Source organism: Homo sapiens, chromosome 5, assembly GCF_000001405.40.
Source record: "Homo sapiens chromosome 5, GRCh38.p14 Primary Assembly".
NCBI classification, from domain to species: domain Eukaryota; kingdom Metazoa; phylum Chordata; class Mammalia; order Primates; family Hominidae; genus Homo; species Homo sapiens.
Window position 1 is genome coordinate 133,053,141 of NC_000005.10, and position 16,245 is coordinate 133,069,385.

General features: G+C 42.6%; 1 protein-coding gene across 1 annotated transcript in view, besides 2 other annotated features; it reads left to right on the plus strand.

Moving 5' to 3' along the window:
• Positions 1–16,245, plus strand: part of HSPA4 (heat shock protein family A (Hsp70) member 4) — a 54,437-nt gene that overhangs the window by 1,128 nt on the left and 37,064 nt on the right. The window contains exons 2-3 of the mRNA NM_002154.4: positions 11,840–11,897; positions 14,277–14,417. Of these exons, the coding sequence (NP_002145.3) occupies positions 11,840–11,897; positions 14,277–14,417 (199 nt within the window). The remainder of the gene's footprint in view (positions 1–11,839; positions 11,898–14,276; positions 14,418–16,245) is intronic.
• Positions 87–1,049: an enhancer, noted in NCBI's record as "H3K4me1 hESC enhancer chr5:132388919-132389881 (GRCh37/hg19 assembly coordinates)". NCBI's record gives its function as "activates a minimal SCP1, AML or CMV promoter by ChIP-STARR-seq in naive H9 embryonic stem cells {active_cell/tissue: H9 hESC(naive)}" and the evidence as "EXISTENCE:reporter gene assay evidence [ECO:0000049][PMID:30033119]".
• Positions 4,971–5,471: an enhancer, noted in NCBI's record as "H3K4me1 hESC enhancer chr5:132393803-132394303 (GRCh37/hg19 assembly coordinates)". NCBI's record gives its function as "activates a minimal SCP1, AML or CMV promoter by ChIP-STARR-seq in primed H9 embryonic stem cells {active_cell/tissue: H9 hESC(primed)}" and the evidence as "EXISTENCE:reporter gene assay evidence [ECO:0000049][PMID:30033119]".

The window sequence follows — 16,245 nt, forward strand, 5'->3', positions numbered from 1 at the left end:
CTAGAACCCATAGTAAGTTTTGGGACCAGCATAGACACAGTTCTAAAAAATGGTGGGTCACTCAGGTCTTTCACTGGTTACAGTGTCTGCCTTTTGAATACTTGTAGATACATTTTAATCCGTTGTCGTGTTCTTAGACAAAATCTTGTAAGAAGTTCTGTATTATTTGCCATTCAGGGTCTCTCTTCTTTTTTTTTTTTTTTTTTTCTTTTTTGAGACAGACAGGGTCTCACTCTGGCTGCCCAGGCTGGAGTGCAGTGGTGCGATCTTGGTTCACTGCAGCCTCGACCTCCCTGGCTCCTGGCTCAGGTGATTCTCCCACCTCAGCCTCCTGAGTAGCTGGCGTTGCAGGCGTGCGCCACCATGCTTGGCTAATTTTATTTATTTTTAGTAGAAATCGGGTTTCACTATGTCACTCAGGATGGTCTCGAACTTCTGGACTCAAGCAGTCCTCCAGCCTCGGCCTTCTGGAGTACTGGGCTTACAGGCATGAACCACCGTGCCCTGCCCAGGGGCTCACTTGTTATTGATTGATTGAGATGGAGTCTCGCTCTGTCGCCCCAGGCTGGAGTGCAGTGGCATGCTCTCGGCTCATTGCAACCTCGGCCTCTGGGGTTCATGCGATTCTCCTGCCTCAGTCTCCTGAGGAGCTGGGATTACAGGCGCGTGCTACCATGCCCGGCTAAATTTTGTATTTTTAGTAGAGACGGGGTGTTGTCGAGTTGCCCAGGCTGGTCTCGAACTCCTGACCTCAAGTGATCCTCCCGCCTCGGCCTCCCAAAGTGCTAGGATTACAGGCGTGAGTCACGGTGCCCGGCCCCAGGGGCTCAATTCTAAGGTCCATTATTTTCACCCTCAATTTTTGTCACATTTCTTCAGCAGGTTTCAGCGAAACTAGATTGTTCAGAAGTCTCACATTTCCTTTCCACTTGTCAAATTTCCGCACCCCCCACCTCCTAACCCAGGTGCTTCCCCTGAAAACTCATCCCAGAAGCCAAAACGGTAGTTTGCTGTCCCTTTGCTGAGTTTAGTCTTGTTAACAGCCCTATTAAGGTTTATTTATTTATTTATTTATTTTGAGAAAAGGAGTCTTACTCTGTTCCCTACGCTGGAGTGCAGTGGCGTAATCTCGGCTCACTGCAGCCTCCGCCTCCTGGGTTCAAGCGATTCTCCTGCGTCAGCCTCCCGAGTAGCTGGGATTACAGGTGTGCGCCACCACGCCTGGCTAATTTTTGTCTTTTTTAGTAGAGACAGGGTTTCACCATGTTGGCCAGGGTGGGCTCGAACTCTTGACCTCAAGTGATCTGCCTGCCTCGGCTTTCCAAAGTGCTGGGTTTACAGGAGTGAGCCACCGCACCTGGCACAGCTTTATTAAGGTTTAATTCATATACTATACAATTTAACCAGATGAAGTGATCGTTTTTAGTGTAGTCACAAAACAGTGCAACCATTACTGTAATCAATTTTAGAACATTTTTATCACTCCCCCAAAGCCCTGTGCCCTTTAGCAGTTTATTTTCCCTATTTGTACTTTTTAACAATGGGTAGTCTAACTTGGCATCTCCAGGGAAGTGTATTGTGCCCTGAAGTTTTTTTTTAAGCATTAAAGTTTGTTTTTAAGCATTTTAGTATTTGAGAATATCTTTGTATCCGTGTTTTCTTGGTCTATAAAATGTCTCCCCTAAGGAACTGAAAAGGCTAAAGCGCTGAGTTAATGTATTTAGTGTTTTGGTCCTTTCCTGCCCTGTGATTGAACACGCTTTAGTTCCAAAGGGCGCACAGGAAGAGAATCCCAAGTATGGGGAAGAACAGTGTTCCTATCCTTTCTTTTAGATTATTATCACATGCTCCTGTTTTTCTTTTAGAAAGACAATAGCTACAACAATTATACCATGAATTCTATTTGAAACTGAGTTGTTGCAGATAAAAAATTTGCCTCAAAGACATTGTGATATATATGACCCCATACACCACGGAATTGTGATAAGAAAATTCCATTTAAATAATTTTCCTTACATGTTTTCTTTATATTTTCCTTCATAGTTTTCATTAACTTACAGGCATGCCATACATTTCAAGTGATTTCTGAACTGTATGATTTTGATTCACTTTGATTACTCTGTTTTGGAGTCTTGGGCTAAATAGAAAATGGTAGCAGGAAGGTTGATTTTTTTTTTTTTTTTTTTTTTTTTTTTTTTGGTAGCGGTTATGGAGGAATGGATTTGGAGCTCATATGTAAAAAAGACTGCATGTTGTGGGTTTGTTTTAACATGAGAGTGGAAATGAGATGCAAGTCTTAGAGGGTTTATGATGGTGGAAGTACCTCGTTTCAGATATGGGTGTAACAATCTGGATTAGGTTTTTGAGGAGCCAGTGGAGTCTCATCCAGAAGAGACCCTTGATTTTCCACCCAATTTAGGCTTCCTTCATTTTATCAGATGTTGAGTGCCTCTGATGTGGTAGCCATTTTTCTAAGCACTGGAGGTACTGTGGTGAACAAATAAGGTCATGCCATTATGGACATGGCTGGTGGATTAAACCAAATACTAAACAAAAATATGTAGTAATTACTAACTGTGGTAAAGGGCAAGGTGGAAAAGTACAGAATACAGTGAGAGTATAGAATAAGCGGGTCTAATTTAAATTGGATGGAAGGACCTGGCACGATAGCTCATGCCTGTAATCCCAGCACTCTGGGAGGCTGAGGTAGGAGGATCGCTTGAGGTCAGGAGTTCGCAACCAGCCTGGCCAACATGCTGGAACCCTGTCTCTACTAAAAATACAAAAATTAGCTGGGTGTGGTGGCGGGCGCCTGTGGTCCCAGCTACTCTGGAGGCTGAGGCAGAAGAATCGCTTGAACCTGGTAGGTGGAGGTTGCAGTGAACCGAGATCATGCACTGCACTCCAACCTAGGTGACAGAGCGAGACTCTGTCTCAAAAATAAGTTGGGTAGAAGGTGCTTTGAAAGAAGTACCATCTGAGACCTGAGGATGAGTAGGATTTTACCTTGGAGGTCACAGTAGGTTTGAGGAAGAGTTGTTCCAGGCAGAAGGAACAGCAAGTGGGAAAGACCTGAGCAAGAAGAGCTGCATCCTTGATACATTGAAGAGCAGCCACGACTCTTTCAGCTGCTTGAGAGAATGCTGTGAGATGAATCTGAGGAATTAGGCAGAGCCTTGTAAATAATAATAATGATTTTTACCTAGGTGCAGTGGGAAGATTATTTTTTGACACGGAGTCTGGCTCTGTCACCCAGGCTGGAGTGCATTGTTGCGGTCATGTGCATACATGCGGCTAATTTTTGTATTTTTAGGTAGACGTGGTTTCGCCATGTTGGCCAGGATGGTCTCAAACTCCTGGTCTCAAGTGATCCGCCCGCCTTGACCTCCCAAAGTGCTGGGAATACAGGCGTGAGCCACCGCGCCCGGCCTGTAAAATTCTTTATTATGGCTCTAACACGTTTTCTTCAAACAGGTTATTTCTAACTTTTTGCTGTTACAAATAGTTCTTCAATAAGTAGCCTTACATATTTATGTTGTAATGTTAATGCTTTTATTTTTATTGTATAGATTTCCAGAGGTGAATTTGCTAGGGTAAGGGATATACTGTATATACTTAAAGTTTCAGTAATATTGCCAGAATTCTTTACACAAATATAACAGATTAATTTGCAGTAGGAACAGATGTGATTTCTCTACTTCATTGGAGATTATGAGAATTATAATGAGTTAAAACTATAACTTATACCTTTTTTTTTGCCATAGTGCTCAGAATAATGCCTGGGATTCAGTAAATACTGCCAAAGTATTTGCTAATAATACTATTACTTTTTGTATTTTTTATTAATTTTTTATGAGATTAGGACAGTAAGATGAAATCTATGGAAGTTTACCTTTTGGGTTCTACAACTGTGTACTTTTAAAGTGCAAAGGTTAATTACTGAGGAATTTGCTGTGTTTTTAGGAACAGCAAATCTCAAAAGTATGAGTTGTTTGGTCTGTTGGGTATCAGCTCTTTTTGGTACTTTCTAGTCCATGGCTAATGCAGTAACCAGAGAGTACTCTGATTAATGTCTCTATTTCCATTCTAGTTTTGCCTATCAGTTGTATGTGATAGTCTAATTATTGCGGTTTCTCTGAAAAGCTCATTTTCTCCTATTGTTGAAGAAAGTGAATTAGAGCAATGGCTGTTGTAATATCCTGAGAGTAGTTCTGCGTACCTTTTTTTTTTTTTTTTGAGACAATGTCCCACTCTGTTGCTCAGGCTGGAGTGCAATGGTGCAATCTTGGCTCACTGCAACCTCCGCCTTTCAGGCTCAAGCAGTTCTGGTGCCTCAGCCTCCCGAATAGCTGGGACTACAGGTGCATGCCACCGCGCCTAGCTATGCATACACTTATAAAAATGAAACTATACCTTTTAAAGGACCTATGCCAATTGCAGCTGTTCATAATATCCTCTCAGAATGTGCATAAATATTCGGTCAGTAGTTTCTTTTAAGAAAAGGAAAACAGTGATATTGTCTGGCTGAAAAAAGAAGTAATTTCTAGGACTTAAAGATTAGAACAGAGGGATCTTAAACTTGATTTGAATTAACTCCGTGCAATTTGGAATGGAGGAAAAGCAATGTCAGTCAAGCAGCAAATGTGTGAGTACTTCTTATGGATTAAGCAGCATTGACTTGGCATTGTGTGTAGTATAGAAGAAGTGTAAGATAGAGATTCCTGCTGTCTAGTTGTAATCAATGTGGTTAAAATATGAATAACATAAGCAGCAGTAAATAGAATGAGTCCAATTATGGACAAGGCTGTGTGATACAGACCTAAAATACCATGTTCAAAGGAGATGTAAGCAGTGGAGGCTAAACTGATGAGGAAAGGCTGGAGTGAGACTTGAACAAATAGGATTAGATAATACATGGAATAAAGGATTCAGATAGTTTGAGTGAAGGATGGAAGTAGGAATGAATTAAGGCTGGCTGTGGTGGCTCATGCCTGTTATCCCAGCACTTTGGGAGGCCGAGGCAGGAGGATTGCTTGAAGTTAGGAGTGTGAGACCAGTCTGGGCAATATAGCGAGACTCTGTCTCTATAAAAAATTTAAAACATTAGCAGGCTGTGGTGGCATGCCAGCTACTTGGGAAACTGAGGTGGGAGGATCACTTGAGGTTAGTGATCAAGGCTGCAGTGAGCCGTGATTGAGTACTACACTCCAAGCCTGGGCAACAGAGTGAGAACCATCTCTTAAAAAACATAACGGGGCTGGGCACAGTGGCTCACGCCTGTAATCTCAGCACTTGAAGAGGCTGAGGTGGGCGGGTCGCCTGAAGTCAGGAGTTTGAGACCAGCCTGGCCAACCCGGTGAAACCTTGTCTCTACTAAAAAATACAAAATTAGCTGGGTGTGGTGGTGCATGCCTGTAATCCCAGCTGAGGATGAGGCTGAGGCATGAGAATTGCTTGAATTCGGGAGGTGGAGGTTGCAGTGAGCTGAGGTCATGCCATTGCACTCCAGCCTGGCCATCAGGAGTGAAACTCCATCTCAAAACCCCAAAAACAAAACCAAAACAAAATAGGGCCGGGTGTGGTGGTTTACATCTGTAATCCCAGCACTTTGGGAGGCCGAGGTGGGGGGATCACTTGAGCTCCGGAGTTTGGGACCAGCCTGGACAACATGGCGAAACCCCATCTCTACAAAAAGTACAAAAATTGGCCGGGTGTGGTGGCTCACACCTGTAATCCCAGCACTTTCGAAGGCCGAGGTGGGCAAATCCCCTGAGGCCAGGAGTTTGAGACCAGCCTGGCCAGTATGCTGAAACCCTGCCTCTACTAAAGATACAAAAATTAGCTGGGTGTGGTGGCACGCGCCTGTAATCCCAGCTCCTCAGGAGGCTGAGGCAGGAGAATTGCTTGAATCCAGGAGGCAGAGGTTGCAGTGAGCCGAGATGGTGCCACTGCACTCCAGCCTGGGTGACAGAGTGAGACTCCGTCTCAAAAATAGTAATAATAATAATAATAGAATAATAAAAGAGGCTGGGTGTGGTGGCTCGTGCCTGTAATCCCAGCACTTCGGGAGGCCAAGGCGGGCGGTTCGCCTGAGGTCAGGAGTTTGAGACCAGCCTGGCCAAGATGGGGAAACCCTGTCTCTACTAAAAATAAAAAAATTAGCTGGGTGTGGTGGCAGGTTCCTGTAATCCCAGCTACTTGGGAGGCTGAGGCAGGAGAATCACTTGAACCCGGGAGGCAGAGGTTGCAGTGAGCCGAGATTATGCCATTGCATCCAGCCTGGGTGACAAGAGTGAGACTTTGTCTCAAAAAAAAAAAAAAAATTAGCTAGGCATGGTGGTACACACCTATAGTCCCAGCTTCTTGGGAGGCTGAGGTAGGAGGATTGCTTGAGCCTGGGAGGCGGAGGTTGCAGTGAGCAGATATCGAGCCACTGCATTCCAGCCTGGGTGATAGAGTGAGAGACCCTGTCTCAAAACCAGAAAAAAAATCCAAAATGTGTGTATACGTGGGGTTTGGAGTCTGATGGTCCTAATTTTGAATCATAGACTCTAATACGTTTCTGGGCACACTGACTTGACTTGAATCAGCTCTTCCTGTATACTAATCCCATTTCTCAGAGAATATAGGATTATCAAGTGTAGGATGCTTAGCACACCACCTGGCACCAGAAGGCTCTGTAATGAGAACTATGAAACAAGGGATCTTGACCTGCTTGGATGAGAGAGGATTCCTGCCATGGATAGGGATCAGGGATGTAGACTGCAAGATTTGAAAGTTCTTGTTGACTGGAAAGTAGTAGGTATATTTCCTTTAAATATTCTTGTCTTGCTTATTCCGTGTCAAAATCCTCAATAATTCAGCCATTGAAGACTTTTCAGAGCATTTGTTGAGGAGAAGCAAACTGATTGTGGTATATCAGTTTTACTTTTTTTTTTTAGGACTTACTAGATTTATTAGGATTACATAGGAGTATTTACCTAAATGTTAATAGTGGCCCTCTGTGGTGGGGGGAGGGTTGTGGAAGTATATATAATTTTTATTTTTTTCTTCATACTTGTCTGTTTTCTAATTTTCTACAGTAAACTTGTACCAAGAAGCATTGACCTATGTTCTAGTGCTAGCGCTAATATTCAAGTTAATCTTTTTGAGTATTCATATCATTTAAATATTAGGTTTCTTTATGTAAGCCTTTAGTTTTCAAAATCCTTCAATTTGTGCTGTTATACTTTTTTTTTTTTGCGACGGAGTTCGCTCTGTCGCCCAGGCCGGAATGCAGTGGTGCAATCTCGGCTCACTACAATCTCTGCCTCCCCGGTTCAAGTGATTCTTCTGCCTCAGCCCCCTGAGTAGCTGGGATTACAGGCGCGTGCCACCATGCCTGGCTAATTTTTGTATTTTTAGTAGAGACGGGTTTCACCGTGTTGTCCAGGCTGGTCTCAAACTCCTGACCTCAGATGATCTGCCCACCTCGGCCTCTCAAAGTGTTGGGATTACAGGCCTGAGCCAGCGCGCCTGGTGCTGTTTTACATACTGACCCAATTCAGCAAATTGATCATATTCTGTTTTCAGTTGTCGTTTTTTAATGGAAGTAGGACTTTTTTTTAAAATCCCACATCAATAGATAATTTTAAAGGTAGCTGACTAGATTTCAGTTCCAGTAGGTGAAACAGGACTTTTTTTTTTTTTTTTTTTTTGAGACAAGGTCTCGCTCTGTCACTCAGGGTGGAGTGTAGTGGCATGATTTTAGCTCACTGCAACCTTGACTGCAAGAACTGAGTTTTAAATTTTATTTAATTTTAAATAATTTAAATTTAAATAGCCACATGTGGCTAGTGGCTACTTCATTAGACAGCATGTATCTGTAACTGAAGACCTCAGATTTTACATTTTTCATTAAGACTTGGTACGTGCACACACACAACTGAAAAGCTTCATTAAACAACAGTACTTTCACATGCAGTGCATACATGTGTTTTCTTTTCTTTTTTTTTTTTTTTGAGACGGAGTCTTGCCCTGTCACCCAGGCTGGAGTGCAGTGACGTGATCTCTCCTCACTGCAAGCTCCACCTGCTGGGTTCACGCCATTCTCCTGCCTCAGCCTCCCAAGTAGCTGGGACTACAGGCGCCCGCCACCATGCCTGGCTAATTTTTTGTATTTTTAGTAGAGATGGGGTTTCACTGTGTTAGCCAGGATGGTCTCGATTTCTTGATCTCGTGATCCACCCGCCTTGGCCTCCCAAAGTGCTGGGATTACAGGTGTGAGCCACCGCGCCCGGCCGTGTTTTCTAAGTTGCTGTTCATGACTTCTTCCAACCCCTGATTGATTTTAGACCCACACATGGGTTGTGACTTACGGCTTATAAAACATTGTTTTAGCAAGGGAAATAAATGTGTTAGTATTGATAATGTAATTCGGTTTGTGGTTGGTGTTAAGTAGAAATTAAACCAAGTCCAGTTTTAAGAGGTAAAAAGGATTACCACCCCTCCCCACCACCCGACTGAGTCTTGCTCTCTTGCCCAGGCTGGAGTGCAGTGGCGTGATCTTGGCTCACTACAACCTCCACATCCTGGGTTCAAGCGATTCTGGTGCCTCAGCCTCCCGAGTAGCTGGGACTACAGGCGTGTGCCACCACGCCTGGCTAATTTTTTTGTTTTTTGTTTTGTATTTTTAGTAGAGACAGAGTTTCGCCATGTTGGCCAGGCTGATCTTGAACTCCTGACCTCAGGTGATCTGCCTGCCTTGGCCTCCCTAAGTGCTGGGATTACAGACGTGAGCCACCGTGCCCGGTAAACGATTACTTTTTATTTGGGGGCTGGGGTGGGTTGAGAAGGCTTTACAGACAAAATAGGTGGAATTTCTAGAGAATACGTGAAGGTACTAAGCATTTCAGACGTCAAAAGTGACATAAGCAAAGCAGGAAGATTGGGATACTTTATTCAACTTGTGTTGATTGTGTGGATGAAATACAGCTGGAAAATGGGATTGGGTTGGGAGAGGCCTTAGGTTCCATATTAAGGAATATAGGTTTTATTTGTTGGTAGTTGGTTTTGTTTGGAAGGTAATTAGAAGCAAGACAGTTTCAGAGTTACTGACATAGAATAGGAAATTAACCCTTCAGCAGGATTTGCAGGAAAGTTGGGGATTGTAATTATTTTGAGGAGATAAAGGTTTGAAAAAGGGCTGCAGGAAACAATGGAAGATGAGTAACATTGCCTTTTAGTTATGTTGTGATTGGGGTCATGGTGGGATATACCTTAGAAATTTAGATCTGGTGGTATTTAGAAAGATGGAGGTGTGCCAATTATTAGGCTTATGCTAGGCAGCCTTTTTGAGGTGGAGGAAGTGGGTAAGATTGCCTTGGGCAATTTCCTAAAGGGTAATATGGGCTTTGAGAGGAGAGACATTTACGTGGTAGTGAGGATTTTTTTTTATTTATTTGCATCTAGTGTCTAAAACAGAGATTTTATTTGTTTTAGTGATTGGTGGCATAGTTGCAGAAAGGCTGAGCTTGACACCTTTGCTTTTGAGGGGCTACTCCCAGCACTTTCTAGGCCCAAAAGCTTAGGATTTGGAGGAATTCTGATGAGGTCCTAGGGTGTACCATGTTTGTTCTTCCTGTCATTTAATAGAAGTCATGGCTTCCTGTGGCTGCCCTGGGAGATTGGCTTACAGGGGTTCTTAGCCATTGGTTGTGAAGGACCACTGAAGCCCAGGGAGGCCCAGCATTCTGCCAGTTTCCACAGGGCTCTTAAGTTTATGTTTCTACCAAATCAGTAGTTCATCTAATTTAGTCAGATTTGGACCAAGGCAGTATGGTTCCAGAGCTCTTATTTACTCTGTTGACTTGGAAGAATTAGGAGTTCAGGGAGGATGAGAGTCAAAGCTTCAGACATCACCTAGAGTCCTGACTTCATTGCTTTCAGGTTGCATGACCCTGGATAAATTTATTTACTATCTTTTTTTTTTAAGGCAGGGTCTTGCTTGCTCTCTTCCCCAGGCTGGAGTGCAATAGCATGATCACAGCTTACTGCAGCCTCAGGCTCCTGGGTTCAGGTGATCCTCCTGCCTCAGCCACCCCCACCCCGTGACTGCCCCATAGCTGGGATTACAGGTGCTCACCACCATGCCCAGCTAATTTTTTTGTATTTTTTTTTTATAGAGACAGGGTTTCGCCATGCTGCCCAGGCTGGTCTTGAATTCCTGTACTCAAATGATCCACTTGCTTTGGCCTCCCAAAACGTTGGGATTACAGGCTTGAGCCACTGCGCCCAGCCAAATTTACTCTTTTTTTTGTTTTGTTTTTGAGACGGAGTCTCGCTGTTGTTGCCCAGGCTGGAGTGCAGTGGTGCGATCTTGGCTCACTGCAACCTCCGTCTCCCAGGTTCAAGTGATTCTCCTGCCTCAGCCTCCTGAGTAGCTGGGATTATAGGCGCCCGCCACCATGCCCAGCTAATTTTTTTGTATTTTTAGTAGAGACGGGGTTTGATCATGTGGGCGTGGCTGGTCTCGAACTCCAGACCTCAGGTGATCTGCCCGCCTCGGCCCCCCAAAGTGCTGGAATTACAGGCATGAGCCACCACGCTCGGCCAAAATTTACTTATACTTATTAATGCCCTTTTTTGTTTGTTTTGTTTTTGAGATAGGGTCTTGCTCTGTTGCCAGGCTGGAGTGCAGTGGCACAATCTCGGCTCACTGCAACCTCCGACTCCTTGGTTCAAGCAATTCTCCTGCCTCAGCCTCTTGAGTAGGTGGGATTACAGGCACATGCCACCACGCCCAGCTACTTTTTGTATTTTTAGTAGGGACAGGGTTTCACCATGTTGGCCTGGCTAGTCTCGAACTCCTGACCTCAGGTGATCCGCCTGCCTCAGCCCGCCAAAGTGCTGGGATTACAGGCGTGAGCCACTGCACTTTTTAAGCGTAAGCACAGAGTTTTTATTTAACCTTCAAGCAGGTTTCAGTTTCGCCTTTCTAAAAGAAGCAGTAAATGGATTAAATCAGGAGATTGTGTATGAATTGGTGATTTAGAAGAATGTTCAGAAGTGGGGTTAAAGTTCCTTGTCAGAAATTCTGAGTCCTGGCCAGGTGCGGTGGCTCACGCCTATAACGTCAGCATTTTGGGAGTCCAAGGTGGGTGAATCATCTGAGGTCAGGAGTTCGATACCAGCCTGACCAACATGGTGAAACTCCATCTCTACTAAAAATACAAAAATTAGCTGGGCGTGATGGTGCATGCCTGTAATCCCAGCTACTTGGGAGGCTGAGGCATGAAAATCACTTGAACCTGGGAGGCGGAGGTTGCAGTGAGCTGAGATAGGGCCACTGCAGTCCTGCCTAGGCAACAGAGTGAGACTCTTGGAAAAAAAAAAAAATTGAGTGCCTGGAAACTAGTTGTAGAAAAATTACTTTTTTACTTATTTAATAGGGCGAGAGTTGTTTTCAGGGTTTGTAGACTATATTCTTGGTGAAGTTGTGAGCTGTCTTAAAAATGTTAATTGATACATTGATGTGAGGGTACATTATTTTATACTGGGATTTTGAACAGGAGACTTGAAAAGTAATTAGAGGATGGTAGAGACTGTCTAGCCCACCTCTCTAGTATTCTAGACAGGTAGTTATCACATCAGATCTGTGCTCCAGCATGTAAATGACAGGACTCAGTTGTAAGAGGCAACCTGTTCCATGGACAGATTTACTCAATAGAAAGGTCAAAATCATAGATTTGTACCATTAAAATATATGGCATTTTAGCTGATACTCAGATCTTGCCTGCTATGCTTTTGGATTTATTATTGTAGTAAGATTTAATTCTTAAGTGCTTTTTTTGTCTTCTAGGGCTTGCATTTCTTTTGGTCCTAAGAATCGTTCAATTGGAGCAGCAGCTAAAAGCCAGGTAAAGTTTCATTTTTTTCCTAAAATGACTTATTTCTCCTCTTCATCCATGTGTTCAGCAAGTAGTTGAATGCCCATTATGTGCCTAACACTGGTAGGCCTTGGGAATACAACTGGCAGATACAGACCTCTTCTCTGTTCCCATGTACAGTCAGCCCTCAGAATTCCATGGGTTCTGCATCTGTAGATTCAAACAACTGTGGATCAAAAATATTTTTGGGAAAAAATACAACACTGGAACAATAAAAAATACAAATGAAAACAATCCAGTGTAACAACTACTTACATAGCATTTACATTGTATTAGGTGTTATAAGTAATCTAGAGACAACTTCAGGTATACAGGAGGATGTGCATAGGTTATAGGCCAATACTATGTCATTTTGTCTAAGGGACTTGAGCATCTGTGGATTTTGGTCTAATTCAAGGAGTGCCCTGGAATCAGTCCCCTGCAGATACCCAGGAACCACTGCTTCAGTGAGAAGCACCTGGCCTTAAAATAGCATTAGCAGTATAATCTGTTTAATGCAAACTGCCAGGGTGTATTTTGTCCAGATCTTGTTAAGCAAGGCTTGCTTGTTCCTTGATATTTTACATGCTCCTTAAGTCTGTCTTGTTGGGCCTTTCATCTTACTCATATATAAGGTAAGTGTTGATCTTGTTAAACAAGTTTCTCAAGGAAGGAAAGCATACCTCTAGAAATACATTAAAGGACTTGCTTTTAGTTTACTCTGTAAACCAGGAACCTGACGTAGTTGCTGGTTTCTGAATAACCAGAGCAGCAGAACCCCAAGAGTTCTGTTATTCTAAGTGTCTGAGATATCTGTAAAATTAAGGAGTTGCATGTTTGACCTTCTTATGGTTCAGCCTGGAGCAACCCTATAGGGTGAATCTGTTTTTGAATGGGGCAGGGCCTAAAATTTATTAGCCTAAAAAAGTGGTGCTTGGCCAATTGGTTTTTAATTAAGTTGGATGTTTTATAGTTCATTTTCACAGTGTTCGAGATCTTTTAGGAGACAGCAGGTAGAAAATATTGGGCCATTTTGAAATCTCTTCCTTCTAAAATTTGAGCAAATCGCTCCTGTTTTTTAAACCTGCTTTTCATGATTGAGAGACAGTTACTATACTAAACTGGCTGCCCAGTTCTAGGTTGATACAGTTATTGTGTTACAGAGTTTCTGTTTGGCAGCTTGCTCGAGGAAGGCATGATTTGGGTGGCCTCATCTGTTTCATAAAAGGACTTCTGTGTGTTCCCTTTCATCTAGTTGATACAGGAGCTTACTACATCTCCTGCATTGGGAGGAGCAGCCTGTAAATCTTAAGCAGAAGGTCATTCTGGAATTTTTTGAATATTTTTGTCAGCATTTTCCCCTCATAAATTGTGATAGTTTATTCTAGAAGAATTAGAAAACATAGATAAAAAAGTGTAAGTCACCTGTTCAACCATTATCCAAAAATCATATAGACATTTGTCTTACCACCTTCTGAAAACTTTACCTGTTGATATTTCATTGTATGAATAGCCCATAATTTAAGCATTTCCCTGTTATTAACCATTTAGGCTGTTTCTAGGCGTCTGCTACTACAAATAATACTCTCCCAATATCCTTTTGTGTTCATTTTTGTGTACTTAGTATGATTTTTTTTTTCCCCTTTATGAGAAATTTGTTTCACTGGAATTTTTTTTCTTTTCTTTTTTCTTTTTTTTTTTTTTTTTGAGAGTGCAGTTTTTGAGAGTGCAGTGGCCCTGTCAGCGCAACCTCCACCTCCCAGGTTCAAATGATTCTCATGCCTCAGCCTCCTGAGTAGCTGGGGTTACAGGTGCGCACCACCATGCCTGGCTAATTTTTTGTATTTTTAGTAGAGACAGCGTTTCACCATGTTGGTCAGGCTGGTCTCGAGCTCCTGACCTCAAATGAGGCCCTGGCTTCTTTCAAAGTGCTGGGATTACAGGCGTGAGCCATGACACCCGGCCTTAACTAGAATTTCTAAATCAATTTATGTATTGCTGAGTTGGTTCCTGGAAACTTTCAACCATAAACTATGGGCAATTTTTAAAGGCTAAAAGTTATTTTATGTAAATGTTTATTAGAAGTTTAAGAACAGAAAATACTTATGCAAGTATAATGACCTGACTTCATGGGATATAGGAAGAGCAGGGCTCTATTTTTAGCCCTGCCACTCTGAGACCCATGCAAATCCCTCCTCCCTCACTTCGCATGCTAGTGGGCACCATTTAGAAAAGTTTAGGGTCTGAAGAAACCAAAACCAAGAAGGAGACTCTATATAAAGTTAAAATGTTGCTAATTTAATCTGAGGCTGTTGAAATAAAAAAAAAATTAGTAGTAGTCTTTCCACTCTTTGATATTCTTTCTCTTAGGTAATTTCTAATGCAAAGAACACAGTCCAAGGATTTAAAAGATTCCATGGCCGAGCATTCTCTGATCCATTTGTGGAGGCAGAAAAATCTAACCTTGCATATGATATTGTGCAGTTGCCTACAGGATTAACAGGTATAAAGGTAAGGTTGTCAGGTTAATGCCTTTTAATTAAAATGCATTATTATATTTTATCAGTTCAATATCTATCTGTACTTTTCTGATGTCAGATTGCAATGAAAATGCTTACAGTTGCTTAGGGAAAGCTTTTTTCTAGTAAAGACTATTTGACAATTTTTGAATGATCTGGATGTTGGTTGGGAGCCATGAGTGGTGCTCTTAATATGGGTTGGAGACCTGGGTAGTGATGGTTTGAAGTTAATACTGCCATTGCTGCTTGTTTTGCTCACTGATGCAGTGGGCTTTTTAGCATGATTTTAGGGAATGACTTCTGGAAGAGCAGGCAAAGCAATCACAGTTTTTTTTTTTTTTTTTTGAGATGGACTCTCGCCTTGTCACCCAGGCTGGTGGGCAATGGTGTGATCTTGGCTCACTGCCACCTCTGCCTCCTGGGTTCCAGCGATTCTCCTGCCTCAGCCTACCAAGTAGCTGGGATTACAGGCACGTGCCACCATGCCTGGGTAGTTTTTTGCATCTTTAGTAGAGACGGGGTTTCACTGTGTTGGCCAGGTTGGTCTCGAACTCCTGACCTTGTGATTCCCCTGCCTCAGCCTCCCAAAGTGCTGGGATTACAGGCGTGAGCCACCGCACCTGGTAGGAATCACAGTTTTAAGTCACTAGCAGATAGATGGACATACTCTTGGAGATAGGATTTAATTTAGAAAGAGATGTTCTTTTGGGGAAAAGTGAGTTTGGTCTTTATCTCTGGTACATCTAGTGGAGTCTCTGTGAAGTATGCAGTGAACTGATCACAGAAAAAGGGTAAGAGGCTGGGAGATGGATAGGGTGGACACATTTGCCTTTCTTGCACTCAGAGGTAGTAAGAGGAATCCATGAGGGGGGGTGGGGGCGTGATTGGCTTTCCAGGCAGGTGAGATTACGGAGAGATTTGGTTTTGGAGGCCAAGAATCAGGAGAACAGGCTGGAAAGCCAAGAGATGTTGAGAACCATGAGAAAAAGGTAGTCTGCTGTTGCAGTGTAGCTGATAATTTAGTTGTATTTAGAAGTGAAAAATTCTGAAAATTAAAGAATGATGACTGGGTTTTCTTAAAATATCTGTGGTAATTAAGGACAGTTTGAATGGGATAGTAAAAGATGAAGCTGAAGCACAGGAGAGAGAAAGGGGTTAAAAAGGGAGGTGAAGAAATGTGCAATACTTATTAGAAATAAGAAATAAAGAAATAGGATAGGTATTGGCAGATTTATTCATAAGCATTGCAAGAAGCAAAGGAGAAAAAGACTAGGAAGAAGATTTGGGAAACAAGTAGATGCAAGTCTAAAAGTGGTGGAATTGACCTCAGAATTAGGCAAATAGCAGGGAAGAAAGAGATAATTTAGAAAGGGCACCAGGAGGGATATTTCCCCATCTTTATCATGCAATAAAGTAAGAACTGTTCAATTCTAAACCATAATAAATTGTGGTTGGGCTGGGGAGTCAGAAGGTGGCACGCAAGCTTGAGTTAGGGCAGCAGCTAAAAGAAGAGAGCAACATGTTCTATTCTGGATTGTAATTTGGGAATATGGGCATGTAGGATGGGTTGGGATTGTTTTAGGCAGTCCTTCAATATTTAAAATTCGTAACTGTTATCACATTTGCAGACTTTTATCTGGAATAGGGCTTTATCTTGAAGCTTTGTTCATTATTGTTACTTATTTAAAATTTTTTTTTTTTTTTGAGACAATATCACTGTGTCACCTAGGCTGGAGTGCAGTGGCACGATGTAGGTTTACTGCAACCTCTGCCTCCTGGGTTCAAGCAATTCTCATGCTTCAGTCTCCCTAGTAGCTGGG